The sequence below is a fragment of the Homo sapiens genome, chromosome 4 (assembly GCF_000001405.40).
Source record: "Homo sapiens chromosome 4, GRCh38.p14 Primary Assembly".
Classification (NCBI taxonomy): Eukaryota; Metazoa; Chordata; class Mammalia; order Primates; family Hominidae; genus Homo; species Homo sapiens.
Genome location: NC_000004.12, coordinates 138,311,299 through 138,328,664, shown reverse-complemented (window position 1 = coordinate 138,328,664; position 17,366 = coordinate 138,311,299). Strand labels below are relative to the sequence as shown.

The 17,366-nt window shown below is 36.6% G+C and overlaps 2 long non-coding RNA genes across 2 annotated transcripts in view; one reads left to right on the top strand and one right to left on the bottom strand.

Annotated features, from left to right (window-relative positions):
• LINC00499 (long intergenic non-protein coding RNA 499) overlaps positions 1-17,366 on the bottom strand; it is a 114,634-nt gene that overhangs the window by 95,680 nt on the left and 1,588 nt on the right. The window lies entirely within an intron of this gene.
• The window catches only part of LINC00498 (long intergenic non-protein coding RNA 498), a 35,573-nt gene continuing 34,184 nt past the window's right edge, over positions 15,978-17,366 (top strand). Inside the window, exon 1 of the long non-coding RNA NR_198994.1 lies at positions 15,978-16,371. This is a non-coding gene — a long non-coding RNA (long intergenic non-protein coding RNA 498). The remainder of the gene's footprint in view (positions 16,372-17,366) is intronic.

The following is a 17,366-nucleotide window of genomic DNA, read 5'->3' as shown; positions in this document are numbered from 1 at the left end:
AAAATTCTATAATGCATCAGGACCAACCAGGAATAGTTAACTTAATAGTTATGAGAACGTAAAAATTAAAAGTATAATTTTCAAATAAATTGGTGCTAAAGATTCAAATTTGAATCAGACGGTGCCAATATGGTATGATTTGATTGTTAACATTATGCAAAAAGTGTTTTTTATACTGGCACCTAAAATGCTAGTGAATTATTTTGTTTTCCACTGACCAGATGTAGAATATTGCAAAAGTCCCTTAAGATTACAATGCACTTTTTTTCCAATGGGGAACTAGATGAGAACGAATTAAATTCCTCATTTATTGAGTGAGTACTATATATAAGGCACTACTGTACCATACAATCAGCTCAATTTGTTCTTGAAACTAGTCCACAAGTGAGAGGGAAGCTAGACAAATGTCCAGCTAACACTGGTACAGAACAAATTGAAATAAGATAAAAGAATTCAAGCACCATGAAGGTATATATTGGCTCTTAAAAAATATTTGTTGAAAAATTGGATGAATAAGCTACCACACACAATGAAACCCAAGGAAGAAGAATTTGCGTCACTTCCTGTTTTATAACTCAGTGATTTTTGTACTGGTCCCCCTTTTAAAGAGTTTCTTCCCTTTGTCTGGTATTATTTAGAAATTTAAATATTCCTAAGATGTAACTTATTAGACACATAACACATTTTTTTTGTAAATGAATTATCGTGGCAGTCACAGAGAGCTGAAGAATACAAAGCATCTTGCTGTCAGGGAAGAACAGACAAGAAAAGGGAGAAAATAAGGTTTAGAAAAGGTGACTGTCCCAGACAGGAGTGAAAACTGTATTCCCTTCTCAAATATCCTAAGGTTATTCATTCAGTCCCACATACCTGAACCCTGAATTGCTTGGAGTGTTTGTTCCTCAAGCACTGTATTTGTTTTGAAATTTCATTCTAAGTCACGGAAAGTTTGGGATAATGAAGCTGGAGCTGAGATCAAAGTTTGAAAATTTTTATTCATAAAATGGAAACTAAAGAGAGCCTGTTGGTAGCAGATTCTATGTGAGAATGGAAGGTCTCTAAGAGCCAGACATTTGACTGGGGTGAAATAAAGGAGAATGTCACAGCTGGGTTTTCACCAAAACCCTTTGTAATTCTAACCACATAGGTGTAACAGGAAGCCACTGATGCTGGTCTGAATTGCACAGAAGTACTAAGTAGGGAATAATGTGAGCTGATATGGTTGAATAAAGCACACATTAGGGAATCAGTTTAAGTCTAGCATGTAACTGGAGGGGTTGAGATTGAGGAGGAGTGCTATTGTACATGTATGTAAAATATTTTTAATAGTACGAAATAGCATTTTGACTCAATGGTTTGGACATATGCAATTATATAAGCTCAAATAAAGTTATAGTAGTATATTCGCAGGAAAAAGAAAAGGTGTTATCTGATGAAATTTAAAAAGGATAGAGTAACTATTATTCCTCTCTCTTAAGAAGAGTTCATATAACTCTTGGCATGTGATGGATGGAAATTATGATCAATGGGGCCATGAGCTATGCAGTGGGTGGTAGTGCATGTTATAGGGATGTGATCATGAACATTCCACATCTCAAGAATGATTGCAAATTGTTCTCATTTAATCTTAGCTTTTATGTGTGCAGCTAATTATTTTCCTGTAAGAAATAGGTGCTAAGAAAGTTAGTTGCCTGCATGAGTCATGTGCAGTAAAACCACTTTCTCCTTTTTACCTTTTATCATTTTAAATGTATTCAACATTTCTTAACACAATTATTGCATTCTTTATTGCCCCTATTCTTTAAGTTTTTTAGCCTTCCATGTTTGCTATTTTATGCTTGTTTTTGGCCATTTTATTCTCATCTGAATTCACCTGCAAACCAATTTGGTGAAGGATATCAAATTGGTCTGGTGCGGTGGCTCACACCTGTAATCCCAGCACTTTGGGAGGCTGAGGCTGGTGGATCACAAGGTCAGGAGATCGAGACCATCCTGGCTAACATGGTGAAACCCTGTCTCTACTAAAAATACAAAAAATTAGCCGTGCATGGTGGCGGGCACCTGTAGTCCCAGCTACTCGGGAGGCTGAGGCAGGAGAATGGTGTGAACCTGGGAGGCGGAGCTTGCAGTGAGCCGAGATCGCGCCACTGCACTCGAGACTGGGCGACAGAGCAAGACTCCATCTCAAAAAAGAAGAGAAAGAAATCAAATAACCACTTTTATTATTTATCTCCAAAAATTATCTGGAGAGATAGCTATTTATACTACAGCCTAATTTTAGTTTTCTGAATGACTTATTGATTTCAGTTATTATGCTTTTGGGTTTATTACTCATGGTCACACTATATATTAATGAGCCAATAATAGCATATGACTTGTAATAAAGCTCATCTGGCTTCCCTCACCAAGAAAACAACAGAGAAGATAGAAATTCTCTGCGCAACATATGCTTCTTATTTTAACCCTTAAGAATAAAATTTCTGACTATAGATGTGGTTGGTATGCATTTGCTTTAATAGAACTATTGTTATTCTACTCTCACAATTATGTATGTAAATAAATATGGAGCTATTTCAGCTTCAGTCTTGACTGAGGCCCTAATCTAATAGATGCTAACAATACCCGTGTTCCGAAAGGAGATGCTGTTAATTGCATTTTAATAAAACTGATTAAAAATGTGATGAAAAAATACTTATTGCATTTAAAAAGCCTAATAGTTAGTCTGTAGTCACTCAAGAAGACTCCAGAAATTAACAATTGGAAACATACAATTCCAATCTTGGAAAATGATCACAAAAAGAGCCTTAAGCCAGAAAGTGAAAATCCCTCAAGTTTAATGACATTGTAGATCTTCTAGAAGTATTCTTTTCCTTTCTTGGGTGAAAGGTGATTATTTGAATTTCTAATAAAAAGTCACCGAAGTCAGAGAGGAATAATGCCTCATATATCAGCTTGAGGGTCCAGTGGCAGTAGAGCACAGGGCTGCCATTGTGTTGGTTGGCATATGTGACAGATGAAATTTTGAGAGTCAAGTTAAGAGACAAAGACACATAGGAAGAAAATGGACACGTGATGGCAGAAGCAGAGGTTGGCATGATGCACCTGTAAGGCAAGGAATGCCGACAAGCACCAGAAGCTAGGGGAGGCAAAGATTCTCCCCTACAGGGTTCAGAGGGAGCATGGCCCTGACATCCTCTTGATTTTGGATTACCAAACTCCAGAGCCATGAGACAATAAATAACTTTCCGTTGTTTGAAGCCACCCAGTTTGTGCTACTTTGTTACAGCAGCCCTAGGAAAGTAATACAGAATGTATTTAGGCTCCAAGTGATACAAAATGTAGGCAGTTTTCTTTGGTCAGATTGTGAGACATATGAGAGAAAGAAAGAGTGCTCAAGGGTCATTTCAGATCTCCTTCAAATGGACTACTTGGCGGTGCAAGGAAAACTCAACAAAAAGATGTTGAAAGTATACAGCTAGATACCCAAGAAGAGAAGAGTTCTGACTAATGCTCTAGGGAGTGCTTCCATTGAGGGCTGCTAGTTAAAGATTTTCATGATTTTCTCAGAACTTCAAGTATGATAAAATAATTAAAAAAACGATTTTCATGATTTTCTATGATGAGGGTTTCCCAAGAACCCATGAATATTTTCATAAGAGGAAGGATCTGCTTTAAACCTCAACACAACCATATCAGGGCCTAAGTAAAAACTCTCCTGCCTTTTTATCTACTTTGCCTCCTCTGTATAGATCCTGGAGAGATAATAAATCCACAGTAGCAAGCTGAAGGAGGAGATGCTGAAGCACAAAGAGGATAAAAGGGAAGAAGGCAATCGTTCCTTCTCTCTTCCCACACTGTAGGTGGTCAGTGTTAATCAGGAGCGAAGCTTTAACACTGAATTATATCCAGGGTTGGTATTACATTGGGCAGAACATACTCAGTGTTCCAGAACAGCTTGGGACAATAAAGACTTCTTACTTTTTTGAGTTTGACCAGAAAAATCATGGGACCTTCCCTAGATTCCATATAAACTGGGGATGTGGGAGGCAGTGAAGGGTGGAATAATCACCTGTGAATGATATGTAAAGGCAGATTTGATAAATGAATAAAATTATTTTCCATTCCACCTTATGAGTCTTGTTCATTCAAAATATTAGAAACACTAAACATTTTATACAAAAAGCTCCTTTTAGGCATTATTTTATTCTATTCTCATGAGAGGCCTATGAAGTGCACAGATACTGTTGATGAATAGAAACAGGTGTGGACAGACTTGCACACACTTTGACATGGGGATATTATTCCTCTCTGATTTCAGTCATAGTGATTAGAGGTATTTTCTCCTCACCATTAGTAAACACATTATCTTTGAAAATGTTAGATTTTTTATTAGAAATTCAAATAATCACCTTTCATCCAAGAAAGGAAAAAAACACCTCTAGAAGATCTACAATGTCATTAAACTTGAGGGATTCTCACTTTTCTGGTTTAAGGTTCTTTTTGTGATCATTTTCTAAGATTGGAATTGTATGTTTCTGATTAATTTTTGGAGTCCTCTTGAGCAAATACAAACTACCAACTACCACATGCTTTTTAAATGCAATAAGTATTTTTTCATCACAGTTTTAATCAGCATTATTGAAATGCAATTGACAGCACATATTGAAAACTTACAATTTGATAAATCTTGACATAGACAGTCATCTTTGAAACCATCATCACAATAATAAACATAGCCATTAATTTCCAAAAATTTTCTCATGCCCCTTTGTAATCTCCTCCCCACCCCCACTTAGCACTTCTCTCTGTGAGAAGGTTTTTTAAATTTCAGCTTTCATTTCTTTAGTATATATGAGGCTATATACTAAAGTATATGAGACTATGCAAGCTATTTCTTCTTCAGTAAGTGTTGTTTGTTTTTCAAGGAAATTGTCCATTTTGTCTGTCATCAAATTTATTACTATAAAGTTATTAAAAATATCCCTTTATAATTCTTTTAATATCTGTACAATCTGTAATGATAGCACCTCTCTCATTTCAGATATTAGTAATTTCTATGTTTTCTCTTTTTTTCTGATCAGTATGGTTAGCAGTTTATTGATTTTATTGATCAGTAATAACCGCATTTTGGTTTTCATAATTTATGTTCTTCATTGTTTCTTTGTTTACTATTTTCTTAATTTTCACTCTGATCTTTGTTATTTCCCTTTCTATACTTAAAGACTTAATTTTCTTTCCTTTTTTTTAAGGTGAAACCTAAGACCTTTCTTCTTTTCTAATGTAGGCGTATTCATGCTATAACTTTCTCTCATACATTACTTTGGCCATATTCGACAATTTTTGATATGTGTATTTTCATTTTCATTTATTACAAAATACTTCCTAATTTTACTTTGATTTCTTCTTTGACCAATAGGTTATTTAGTAGATGGTTATTCAGTTTCCAAATATTTGGGGATTTTCTAGGGATCTTTCTGTTTTTGATTTTGAATTTAATTTTATTGTGGCCAGAAACAATACGTTGTATGATTTGAACCTTTTTTAGTTCTGTCAGTCTGTTCTCTTCCTACACGATGGCCTGGAAATTCACTTTAGGAAGTGAGCTGGAGCATGGGAGGCATTGTTTCCCACATTTTAGTGATCACTGTCCTTTGTTGCCTGATGGCCAGTGTCTTAAGCACTGTTGTTTTCTATATTTGGTTCAGATTTTCAGTTGTTTCAGGTAGGAAGGTAAATCTGGTCCCTGCTACTCTATCTTGTTTAGAAGCACAAGTTTGTATTTAGGTTAAATATTGTTTTTATGTGCTTTCAGTGAAGCTACTATATAGGAATTCTTGATTCAGCTCTGTGTTTGTAAACAAAACAGTGGCAAAGTAACAGGAAGAATCCATAGAAAGTGGGCAAAGTATATGCTTGGTTATTGTCTGCCAGGAGGAGTCTGGAGTTTGGGGAAAAAAAAAACATAGTGAGATTTACCAGGTGTACAAAATCAGACCACAAAATGGTTAATAATAATAATTAGACTTCTAAGGACACCATGAATACAAGACTGTAGTTGATTATAGAAATACAGTGATATAATAGGCAAGCTCAAATGGAGACAAAGGAAGACTAGGATTCTAGTTTTTGCATGGACACTGTAAGATATTGGCAAGTGACCTAGCCCATCTAAGTATTATTAATACAAATAACATGGTGAATTGGAATTAGATTTCTGGACAGCATTCACAGAAATTCTGATCGAACAGATTTGAAGTGGGGCCTTCAAATCTCTGTTTTTGTTAAGTTTTATACAGGTTATATTGATGCAAAACTAGTTTGGGAGTCTGCTGATAAGATGAGCTCTTACATGGCTTTTCAGCCCTAGCCTTACCCATATTTAACTTTTAGTAACAATAATACTAGCTATCGTTTGTTGGACACTGCAGATGTACCGTCTTGGGTGCCTTACATCCATGTCCTCTAGTCCCCTAGTCTTACACAGCAGATCTTATTATCCTCATTTTCTGAAAGAAGATTGATATTTCTTTCTTAAGATGGCCTAGGAAAGTGCCCAATGCCACATATGGAGTCTGCCTAAAAACATAAATTTTATTTGTGACCTGGCACCAAAACTGTGCTTTTTCTATTTAATCATGTTACCTATCAAAAGACTAGCCTGTATATCCTTAATGTTTTAATATTATTGGTTCATGTCAGTCCAGTTTGTCAAAGGTAAAATATTATTTTATAAGAAAAGGTCTTAAATATTCTAGAGAAGCATAAACAGTAGTGTTCTACAGATAATGGAAAATAATTTTAAAATACTAGTACTTTATTGAACACTTATTTACACTAGGCTAAAGGCTGTATTATATTATTTATTTCAGTGATTTTTATGTGTTTCTTAGGGACAATTTGTCCATTGTCTATATATTATAAATCAAATTAATGTTTTGACTTAAGCCCTTTATAATACCTTTAAAATATGATACTTCATGTCCATAGGTAATTTATATGTGCTTACTATTTTCATGTATATCTTCCCTTTTAGCCTCTTCCACTTATCATCTCTTTATTTTTGTTTCTATTAGTTTCTTTCATTCAATTGTCATTTTTTCCCTTTTTATAATTCAAGGCAGTGCTTAGGAGAAGTCCCCTCTATGTGTTTATTTCTTGTTTTCAATTTTAAAACACATGATACTGTTATTTCATATCAGAAATGGGTAGAGACATTCATACCATCCAGGTGTGAAGAAATTGAGAGAAAGTTATATGGATCAGGCATAAAGATATTGCTGTGAACCCTGTGATTCAGGTGAAATAGAAAATATTTATATTTCAGAAGTTTTACCAAGATTCGAAGGAAGAATAAAATTAACAAAAATGAAAACTTTTTATGTCCTGGCCAGATCTTTCATAAATATATGTAATATTTATTTGTAAAGTACTTTGAGTATTTGGGGCAATGTTTGGATTGAGGTCACCGATTTAAATTCTGTCCATTCCCTCTCTTTCCTACCAATTGCCTTTGTCTCCCCTCTCCCTCTATTTAATTGGAGATTTTCCCAAACTTGAGCTGATCTGAATGGAGTTACAAAGTGAAATTAACTAATTCCCTTGAAAGAAGTAAGGGTAGCAATACTTTAGAAAGCTTATTAATTCCTCTTTTCACTCTGCCTCCCTGCTCTGCTCTCAGACCTCACTTGGAACCCCTGGAGAAGGAAAATTAACAGGCCCCCTGAAGCTGAACCACTACAACCTTTCAAGGGAATTGGCTAATTTCACTTTGCTGCTCCATTTGGAGCAGCTGGGGGTACTGGTCTTGAGGGAAATAATAGGACCTAGTGCTTGACATCCTTTACATTTTTAAATAAAATTCTACTAAGTTTTCTCATCAAACTAAAAAATGGTGTTCACCATATGCCTACATCACTGGTTTATATACTGAAACAAGCTACTCATACATCTTCCTCTATTTTCATTTCTTAATCCCGTTGGAACCTTCCAAATTCTTTTTGATCCCTGATACTAAATAACTTCTTTCCTAAATGTCCAGTGATTGTGTTTATCAGTAAGCAACAAATAGTTAAGTCATTTCTTTTTCTAGTGGAGTTCTGACTAGAATGCCCTCTGTCCCCACTTCCTTTTCAGAATCCAAGATACTTTCTTTGGTCCTTGTTTAGGATATTCAGTCCTGGTCTTTTAAAGCAGAAGTATTCGACATCATGCCTATTTCTATGCTTCACCCAGAGAGCATCGCAGAAAGAAATCAGATGGCCCCTAGTAGCTCTGGCAATCCTCTCATTCCTAAATTCTCTTAATGCTTCTGTAACATGACCACACTTTCAGATTCACAACCCATTCTTTTTCTAGGTTAACAAATTCATAGGACATTAACAGTTTCACACTGTACTCTGGGGGCATTTTAGTATTAATCTCTTTACATTCTGAGCCTTACCCATTTGAGTCTTCTCAGTTCCTCTCAAAGATATTTTAATGATGGAGCTTCATCTTTTGCCTTATGGTGACTAAATTTCTTCAGTTCCCATTTGTGTAGAAGTTTCATAAAAATCCTGCTCATAGTCTGAAATGAATTGCTTTTTGTAGAATGGCCCTTCAAGTAGTTCCAGACTAATGAGAGCAAACAAGATGGACTTGCACAAGTTAACATTCAAAAATATATAATGTTTAAAGTAACTATCATATCACCCACAGGCACTCTGGACAACCAGAGGTAGATGCTTCTTTTTTATATTAATCACATATATTTCTGTGGATCATCAATTGCTGTTGCATGCTTTTGTGTTGTGAATGTATTAAAAAGTATTCTTTTTGAAAATAATGGAAAACTCCAGTTTTGACATCAGAGCCTCTGACAAGTGAATCTGTTCTCATTATCTCAACATCTATCTTGGCTTGTAAAAATCCTGCAGCTTTATGATGCATCACGGTATCCTTCACTACCTCCTCTTGTTCTTAAACATAAAGCTGCCACTTATGCTAGAACAAGCTTGATAAGATTGTCTTATAGATCCAATCCATTTAAAGGGAACATTGCTGCCAACACTAACATCCTTTTGCCACAGCTCTTCTCTGCCTGAGTTAGAATATTATGCTCAAGAGTTAGAAGGATGAAGTGCAGATATACTATATGCACAAAATTACCACTCACTCCTAAAGGGTTAGAGCCTTAAATATCAAGATATTCATTCTAATATGGACAGAGGAAAAGTGCCGTTTTTGCACTTTCTTAAATGAGGCCATAGACTTCAACCATCTACTATACTATCCTTAGTAAGTGGACAATAAGAAGAATAATAAACCGTGGTTCATTTTAGATGTTAACCCACATCCAAATACCTGAGTGACCTTCTCTCTAAGCTGTTTTAAATAAATGGTGTATAAAATACACACCAAGAGAGTCATAAATGGCCAAGGTGATATTTGAGGCCTTATGGGAGGTACTCATTTCAAAAATTCCATGCTCTGTCACCTCTAATGATCTTTGGCTCTTCATTTAGCTGAGAGTTGGCTTTTTAATGAACAAATGCCCTAAGCAGTCTAGATGGCATTCTTATTATGGTCATATATTTTGGAAGTGTGATGGGGAAGAAATTGATATAAGAAGAAGGTGTAAGAGAAGGAAAAGAATACCCGAGAAATGGAGGGCATACGTGTCCCCATCAAAGTGATAATAAATGTGGTGGGGTCGCAATGCCTGTGGTGGTGAATGCCAGTTGATGAATGAAGCCTCATATTTTGTACCCCCAAAATTTAAGGATTCTGGATGTATCCAAGTGTTTGTTGTATATAAGTCTGATAGGCACACAGTCTAGCCCATAATCAGTGTGCATGTATTTTTTTTCATATTATAGAAATTTGGATGTTCCCTGGGGTTATAAAACAATTCTGGGGTCTTCTGAGGTATTCCAGGAAGTGTGGGACCAAGTAGACTGCTCCTAAACCTCTTGGAATGTCTTGAATTCTTGTAGTTAAGAAAGGAAGAGGAAAAACTGTATAAATAATTTGCCAGATTTCCACTAGTTATCTTGGTCTGAGAATTGTCCCCTTGGAGGTAGTCCTGGTGGAGTTTAGAGCACCCTTTTTTTTTTTCCAACCTCAACAGTCTCAGAAGCTTCTGGACCATAATGGAATCCTGTTAAGAGTTAAATATAAGTATCTCAGCAGTGTCATGGGCTTCTAAATCAGGCAACAAGAGGATATTCAAGTATCATTACCTCTAACTCAATTAGCCTGGGTCATGAAGCTCAGGGACATTTGATTATCTTCAGTGATTGATTGTGGCTCCTAAATGGCTCTATTCCATATGGAAGCATCTTTTCCTTACATTTGAAACAAAATATTTGAAACTAAGGTTTATATTAGCTCCTGTAAGCACACTTGCAAAATTATATTTGATAAATCTTTGGGTTTTGAAGCCACATACCATTTTAAAGCATATTGTGTCAAATGACATGGTTCCAGTTATACCTCGAGGAATTATTGGCTTGTTGTCATCAAACAAAGATATTTGCTTTTGTACTATATAGGGACTCTGGACTAATCAAGAAGCACAAATGACATGTAATAATTGCTTTAATATAATTCTATGTGACTTACTTGTCACTCATGTATAGAGTAGACTTGCATGTATATTTTCAGCATATTAAACTTGCTTCCAGTATCTTTTAGATTTTTTTTAATTGCAGAATGTTTTTATTAATTTAGATGACTGGGAGCCAAAGAAAGGTAGCTTCTGGAAATTCCTTTCCATGTATAAGTCTCCAGATTCAAATAGTATTTATTAAGTTAATGTTATATATCAACTTCAGAACCCTGCCATTTCATTTATTTACAGTGAGACATGAGTAGATAGAAATAGCCATATACTTTGTTTTTCATTCTGATATGTGTTTAAAACCTGTGATGTCAGAAACATGAAATCAGTTTCTGACAAGGGTATTGACCAGGGTATCTGTAATTCACAAGTAATGAGAAGGGAAGAGTTAATGGGATTTTTTAATATGCTGAATAGGGCTTTTCTGCTGAATAGCACTACATTGTCTGAGAGCAACAGCTCTTGAATATTAAAAGAGAACCGTTTTGTCTTGTCCTGTTGCCATGGAAGGAGAGAAGGTGATTTTAGAAAAACAAACAGGAAAAGTCTCGAAGAAATTAGATAGATTTGAAAACAATTTGCCTGGTGGTATTCCTTTTGCCCAAACTGTATATATGTGTAAGAGGAGGGCAGGGCAAATAATCCATCCTTCCCTTGTTTTGAAGACAGAGTAAAGCTCTATTGCTGTCCTTGAGACAGTGCAGGATGGGGGTGCTAAGGCAGGATGAAACTAGTATGTAGCTAGTATACACATTGGGACTGTCCTTTCAATGGGCATTCGTAGCTGCACTTACTGCACCACCTTAGAGGCAGCACAAGCTACTTTTCGCTTTTACTTGGCCATATTTTTGTCATGGGAAAGAAAATTTAAAAAATTGCTTTATCTCCATGGATTGAAAATCTTTCTTTATGTTATGCTCCATTAAAAAATGAAAACAAGTTCAAAGTCTCAGTGCTTTACAACAATAACAGTTTATTTCCTACTCTGTCAATGTAGGTTCTAGGAGAGCTGTGGGTCTGCCTCACATATCTTCCTTATTTGGTGATTGAGACTGAAGGAAAGAGCCTTACCTTAGTTTTGTGGCAAAAGGAAAGAATAGTGACAGAGCCATGGGATGGCTCTTGAAGCATCTACCCAGAGGTAGCAGATATCACTTTTACTCACATTGCATTGGCCATGGTAATTTACATGGCCAAGTGTGATGTAAATGACCTCCTCAGACCATGGAGTATGCCTTTCCCAAAGAGAAGCATTTCAAGTCACATGGCAACAGATAGAGGCATATAATCTTCTTTTAGGAAGGAAAATGAAAATACATAATTGAGATAAATAATGCCATCCTCATCACCCTTGATCGGTTTTGAAGGCTTATGGAAATAAAATGTGATACATTGGAGGCTGTAGATCTTGCTTCTTAAGTGTATAAGGAGATAGGCTAGCAGTGATTCCCACGATTTAGAGTTCCTGAGGATCACCTAAATAAGTTGTTAAAAATGTAGGTTCTCTCAGCCCAATGCTCATCATTCATCATTCAAAGAATAGACAAAGAAATTATTTTATACACACACACACACACACACACACACACACACCATGGGATTCTATTCAGTCATAAAAATGAATGAAATAATGGCATTTGAAGCAACCTGGTTGGAACTGAAGACAATTATTCTAAGTGAAGTAACTCAGGAAAGGAAAACCAAACATCATATGTTCTCACAAGTGGGAGCTATGAGGATGCAAAGGCATAAGAATGATACAATGGACTTTGGGGACTCGGGGGAAAGGGTGGGAGTGGGTGAGAGATAAAAGACTATACATTGGGTACAGGGTACACTGCTTGGGTGATGGTTGTACCATAATCTTAGAAATCACCACTAAAGAACCTAGTCATGTAACCAAATACCACGTGTTCCCAAAACCCCATTGGAAAAAAAAAAAGAAATAAACGAAAGGAGGAACAATTAAAAACAAAACAGTCCTGTTCTAGAAAAAGGAATACAAAGCATAACTAAACTAGGCATGAACTTTTGGGTGGTAAAGTTACAAAGAAAATAAAGACTTGATTACCGTAAAGATCAGGACTGTGATTACTTTTGAAAAGAGGGAAGGGACTGTGATTAGGATAGATGGATGGAAAAATTATATTTTTTAAACCTAGCTATGGTTATAAGGGTATTTGGTTTATTTTATATAGTCTTCTATATCTGTTAGATTTTACAATAAAAAGTTTTTTTTAAACACTGAGAAAAAAAGAGCAGGTTCTCTGATACAAGACAAGGATGCTCTCACTCACCACTTCTATTCAACATCGTGTTGGAAGTCTAAGCTAGAGCAATCAGGCAAGAGAAAGAAATAAAGCACATCCAAATAGGAAGAGAGGAAGTCAAACTATCCCTGTTAGTAGATGACATGATGCTATATCTAGAAAACTCCATAGTCTTCAGCTGATAAACAATTTCACCAAAGTTTCATGACACAAAATCAATGTAGTAAAATCACTAGCATTCTTATACACCAACAACAGCCAAACTGAGAACTAATTCAGGAAGGCAATTCCATTCACAACTGACAACTGCCATAAAAAAAATAAAATAAAATACCTAGGACTACAGATAACCATGGAGATAAAAGATCTCTACAATAAGAATTACAAAACACTGTCAAATAAATCAGAGGAGACACAAACAAATGGAAAAACATCCCATGCTCATGGATAGGAAGAATCAATATCCTTAAAATGGCCATACTGCCCAAAGCAATTTATAGATTCAATGCTATTCTTATCAAACTACCCACAACATTCTTCAGAGAACTAGAAAAAATTTTTTAATTCATATGGAACCAAAAAAGAACCCTAATAGCCAATGCAATCCTAAGCAAGAACAAAGCTGGATGCATCACACTACCTGACTTCAAACTATACTACAGGGCTACAGTAACCAGAACAGCATGATACTGATAACAAAAACAGGCACATAGACCAATGGAACAGAATAGAGAGCCCCAAAACAAGGCCACAGATCTACAGCCATCTGATCTTCAACAAAGGTGGCAAAAACAAGCGATGGAGAAAAGACTCCACATTCAATAAATGGTGCTGGGATAACTGGCTAGCCATATGCAGAAAATTGAAACTGGACCCCTTCCTTAAACCGTATGCAAAAATTCACTCAAGATGGATTAAAGACTTAAATGTAAAACCCAAAACTCTAAAAACCCTAGTGTCTTCTAGGGTTTTCTTATAGTTTCTTCTAGATTTTCTTATCTAGGCAATACCAATCAGGACACAAGCATGGGCAAAGATTTCATGACAAAGGCACCAAAAGCAATCCCAACAAAAGCAAAAATTTAAAAATGGGATCTAATTAAATTTAAGAGCTTCTGCACAGGAAGAGAAACTGTTAACAAACAGACAACCTACAGAATGGGAAGAAAATACTTGCAAACTGTGCACCTGACAAAGGTCTAATATCCAGCATCTATAAGGAACTAAGACAAATTTACCAAAGAAAAACAACCCCATTAAAAAGTGGGCAAAGGACATGAACAGTCACTTTTTTTTTTAATAAAAGACATACATGTGGTCAACAAGCATTGAAAAAAGGCTCAATATCACTGACATTAGAGAAATGCAAATCAAAACCACCTCACACAAGTCAGAATGGCTGTTGATAAAAAGTCAAAAAGTAACTGTTGCTGACAAGGTTACAGAGGAAAGGAAACACTTGTACATTGTTGGTGGGAATGTAAGTTAGTTTAACCATTGTGGAAAGCAGTATGGTGATTTCTCGAAGGGTTAAAATCATTCTACCATAAAGACACATGCACACGAATGTTTTTGTTTTGTTTTTTTTCTTTTTGAGATGGAGTCTCGCTTCATCACCAGGCTGGAGTGCAGTGGCGTGATCTTGGCTCACTGCAACCTCTGCTTCCCGGGTTCAAGCAATTCTCTTGCCTCAGCCTCCCGAGTAGCTGGGACTACAAGCACACACCACCATGCCCAGCTAACTTTTGTATTTTTAGTAGAGACGGGGTTTCACCATGTTGGCCAGGATGGTCTCAATTTCTTGACCTCGTGATCCACCCGCCTCGGCCTCCCAAAGCGCTGGGATTATAGGTGTGAGCCGCTGCGCCCGGTCACGAATGTCTATTTAAGCATGATTCACAACAGCAAAAATACAGAATCAACCTAAATGCTCATCAGTGACAGATTGGATAAAGAAAATGTGGTAGATATACACCATGGAATATGACGCAGCTATAAAAAAAACAACAACGAGATCATGTCTTTTTGTGGGAACATGGACAGAGCTGGAGGCTATTTGCCTTAGCAAAGTAACAGAGGAACAGAAAACCAAATACTACATGTTCTCACTTATAAGTGAGAGATAAATGATGAGAACTCATGAACATAAAGGGAACAACAGACACTGGGGTCTGTTTGAGCATGGAGGGTTGAAGGAGGGAGAGGAGCAGAAAAAGGAACTATTCGGTACTAGGCTTAATATATGGGTGATGAAGTAATCTGTAAAACAAACCCACGTGACATGAGCTTACCTATATAACAAACCTTCACATGTACCCCTGAAACTAAAATAAAAGTTTTAAAAAATGCAGGTTCTCAATATCACCTCTCCTCCATCTCACCCCCACTCTCACTTCTAATATAGTAGTTTGCACGGAGGTCCAGGAATCTGCATTTGAAGTTTCTTGGCAACATTTTCTGAAACACTGACCCAGATGATCTCTGTCTTCAGTCATGTGGTTGTGCTGTAAGAAAAAATAGTATCCAGAGAAATAGTTTCTATGAATTCCCAATCCTCAGCTTTCAATATTTCACAGTCCCTATATTTTGGTATCCCTTTTATTCTTCTCTCTTCTCACTCATGGTAAAAGGAGAATAGAAAAGTGACACAAATCCAGATATGTTATAAAAGAGGATTAATATTATCAAGAGGGGAGTTTATTTGTCCTCCTGTAAACATTCTACCCTAGAGAATTAGAAACACACTGGGGAGTAGATGCCTTCAAAAGCCCATAAGATCAGTTATTTATGCATTCGTTTTCACCATTTCAGGATGCAAAGTTATCAGAAAAGACAACCTCTCTGGTCTCAAGCCAGCTGGGACACTACCAGGATGTGACTAGAATTCTTTAAGGAGGACAGATAGGTATCAAAGGGGAAAAGAAGAAGAAGGGGAGGAAGAAGAGGAGGAGGGGGAGGAAGGAGGAGGAGGAGAAAGGGGCAGGGAAGGGAGATGGGGAGGAAAAATGTAGAACAGTTCTCTGGGTGGCCTTGGACCAGCCCTATTGTCCTCCCTTTTCTCATTTCTAGTTCTCAAGAACAGCTGTAGAATGTTCTGGGAATGCAACATTCTGAGATAAGGAGGGCTGGCTGGAACAGCCTGAGCTCTGTTCTGGGACCCCGCTTTACTGAAATAAGATAACCTTCAATGTTTTAGCCCAGCAAATCTCATTGCCCCACAGCATAAAACCAAGGTTGAGAGGCTTTCTGGGGTCCCTCAGCTGATACAAGTGGGGTATGCATGGAGGACACTCCATCTATCCTGGGCAAATTTCTTGAGCCTTGCAGACTGGCTTACAATGTGTCACGGGCTTCTGTTGTCTTGCTGCCTATCTGTAAGTAGTAAAAAGTCTCTTCATGCAGCTTGTTGTATGCACAGGTGTTTTCTCTCACTGGACTCAGACAAGTTGGTGACCCGCACACAATAAACCTGCTCCACAACAAGAGGAGAAGGAATTCCAGGTAGATCGACCTTCTATTCCTCTGGGTATAACTCTGATCCGCTGTGAGGAATATTATTATATTATTTCTGGCAGTGGGCCACAGTGGTACACCATTTGGGATGTGGTTGGGGGTAGGCTTAGAAATTCAGAGTGGAGCATACTATTAAACTTATGTTAAGAATCAGGATGGGTTTTGTCTACTATTTTGATTCTATTAATAGCAGGAACCTGAAGATAACAGGACCTTGCCATGCCAGTTACTATTTCTCATTGCAGTGTTTCTTCTGAGCAGTAACTCTAAGGAATTGGCCAAGCATCATCTTGTTGCTTGTGCTGGGAGGGAGAAGGGCTGGGAGGGAGAGAGCAATGACATTCCTGCTGTGAGGAAAGGGGCAGAAGCATCAACTCCCTTGCATTGTTGTCTTACATGGAAAGTATTCTGTTTCCCACTTTTTTCACTTCACATTGTGTCTTTTGCATTTTTTCTTCTTGCTACAATGTATTTAAAACTAACATTTACATTCACTAAATTTATGCAATACTCCACCTAGTTAGTATATTTTTTCTGCCATTTCCCTATTATTTCGTATTTAAAATATTCACAATACTTGATATTAAAAAAAAACCTAAAATAAACATTTTCGTGAAAGCTTTTGTCTACCCAAACCTAGTTCTCTAACATAAATTCTTATTTAATTCCTACGTTTAATGGAAAAATCCTTTTAAAATATGTGATTTTTTTTATTTTTAACATTTTAATTTACATGGGGCTAGATTTCTGTTCTTTCTCACTCACACTATCTCCCCTTACTTTTATTCTTAATTTTGTTTCTTGAGATGAAAAGAGGGAAAAGGGGTGAAGTGAGATCTAGGGGCATACCCTGAAAAGTCAAAGGTAATTTAAATTTCTCTCAGAGCCATTTCTTTACAATGAAATGAGCAAATGGAAATGAAATAAGCAAAAACAAAATAAGAAGAAATAATTAAAAGCAAAGACACAAAAATTCTAAATTA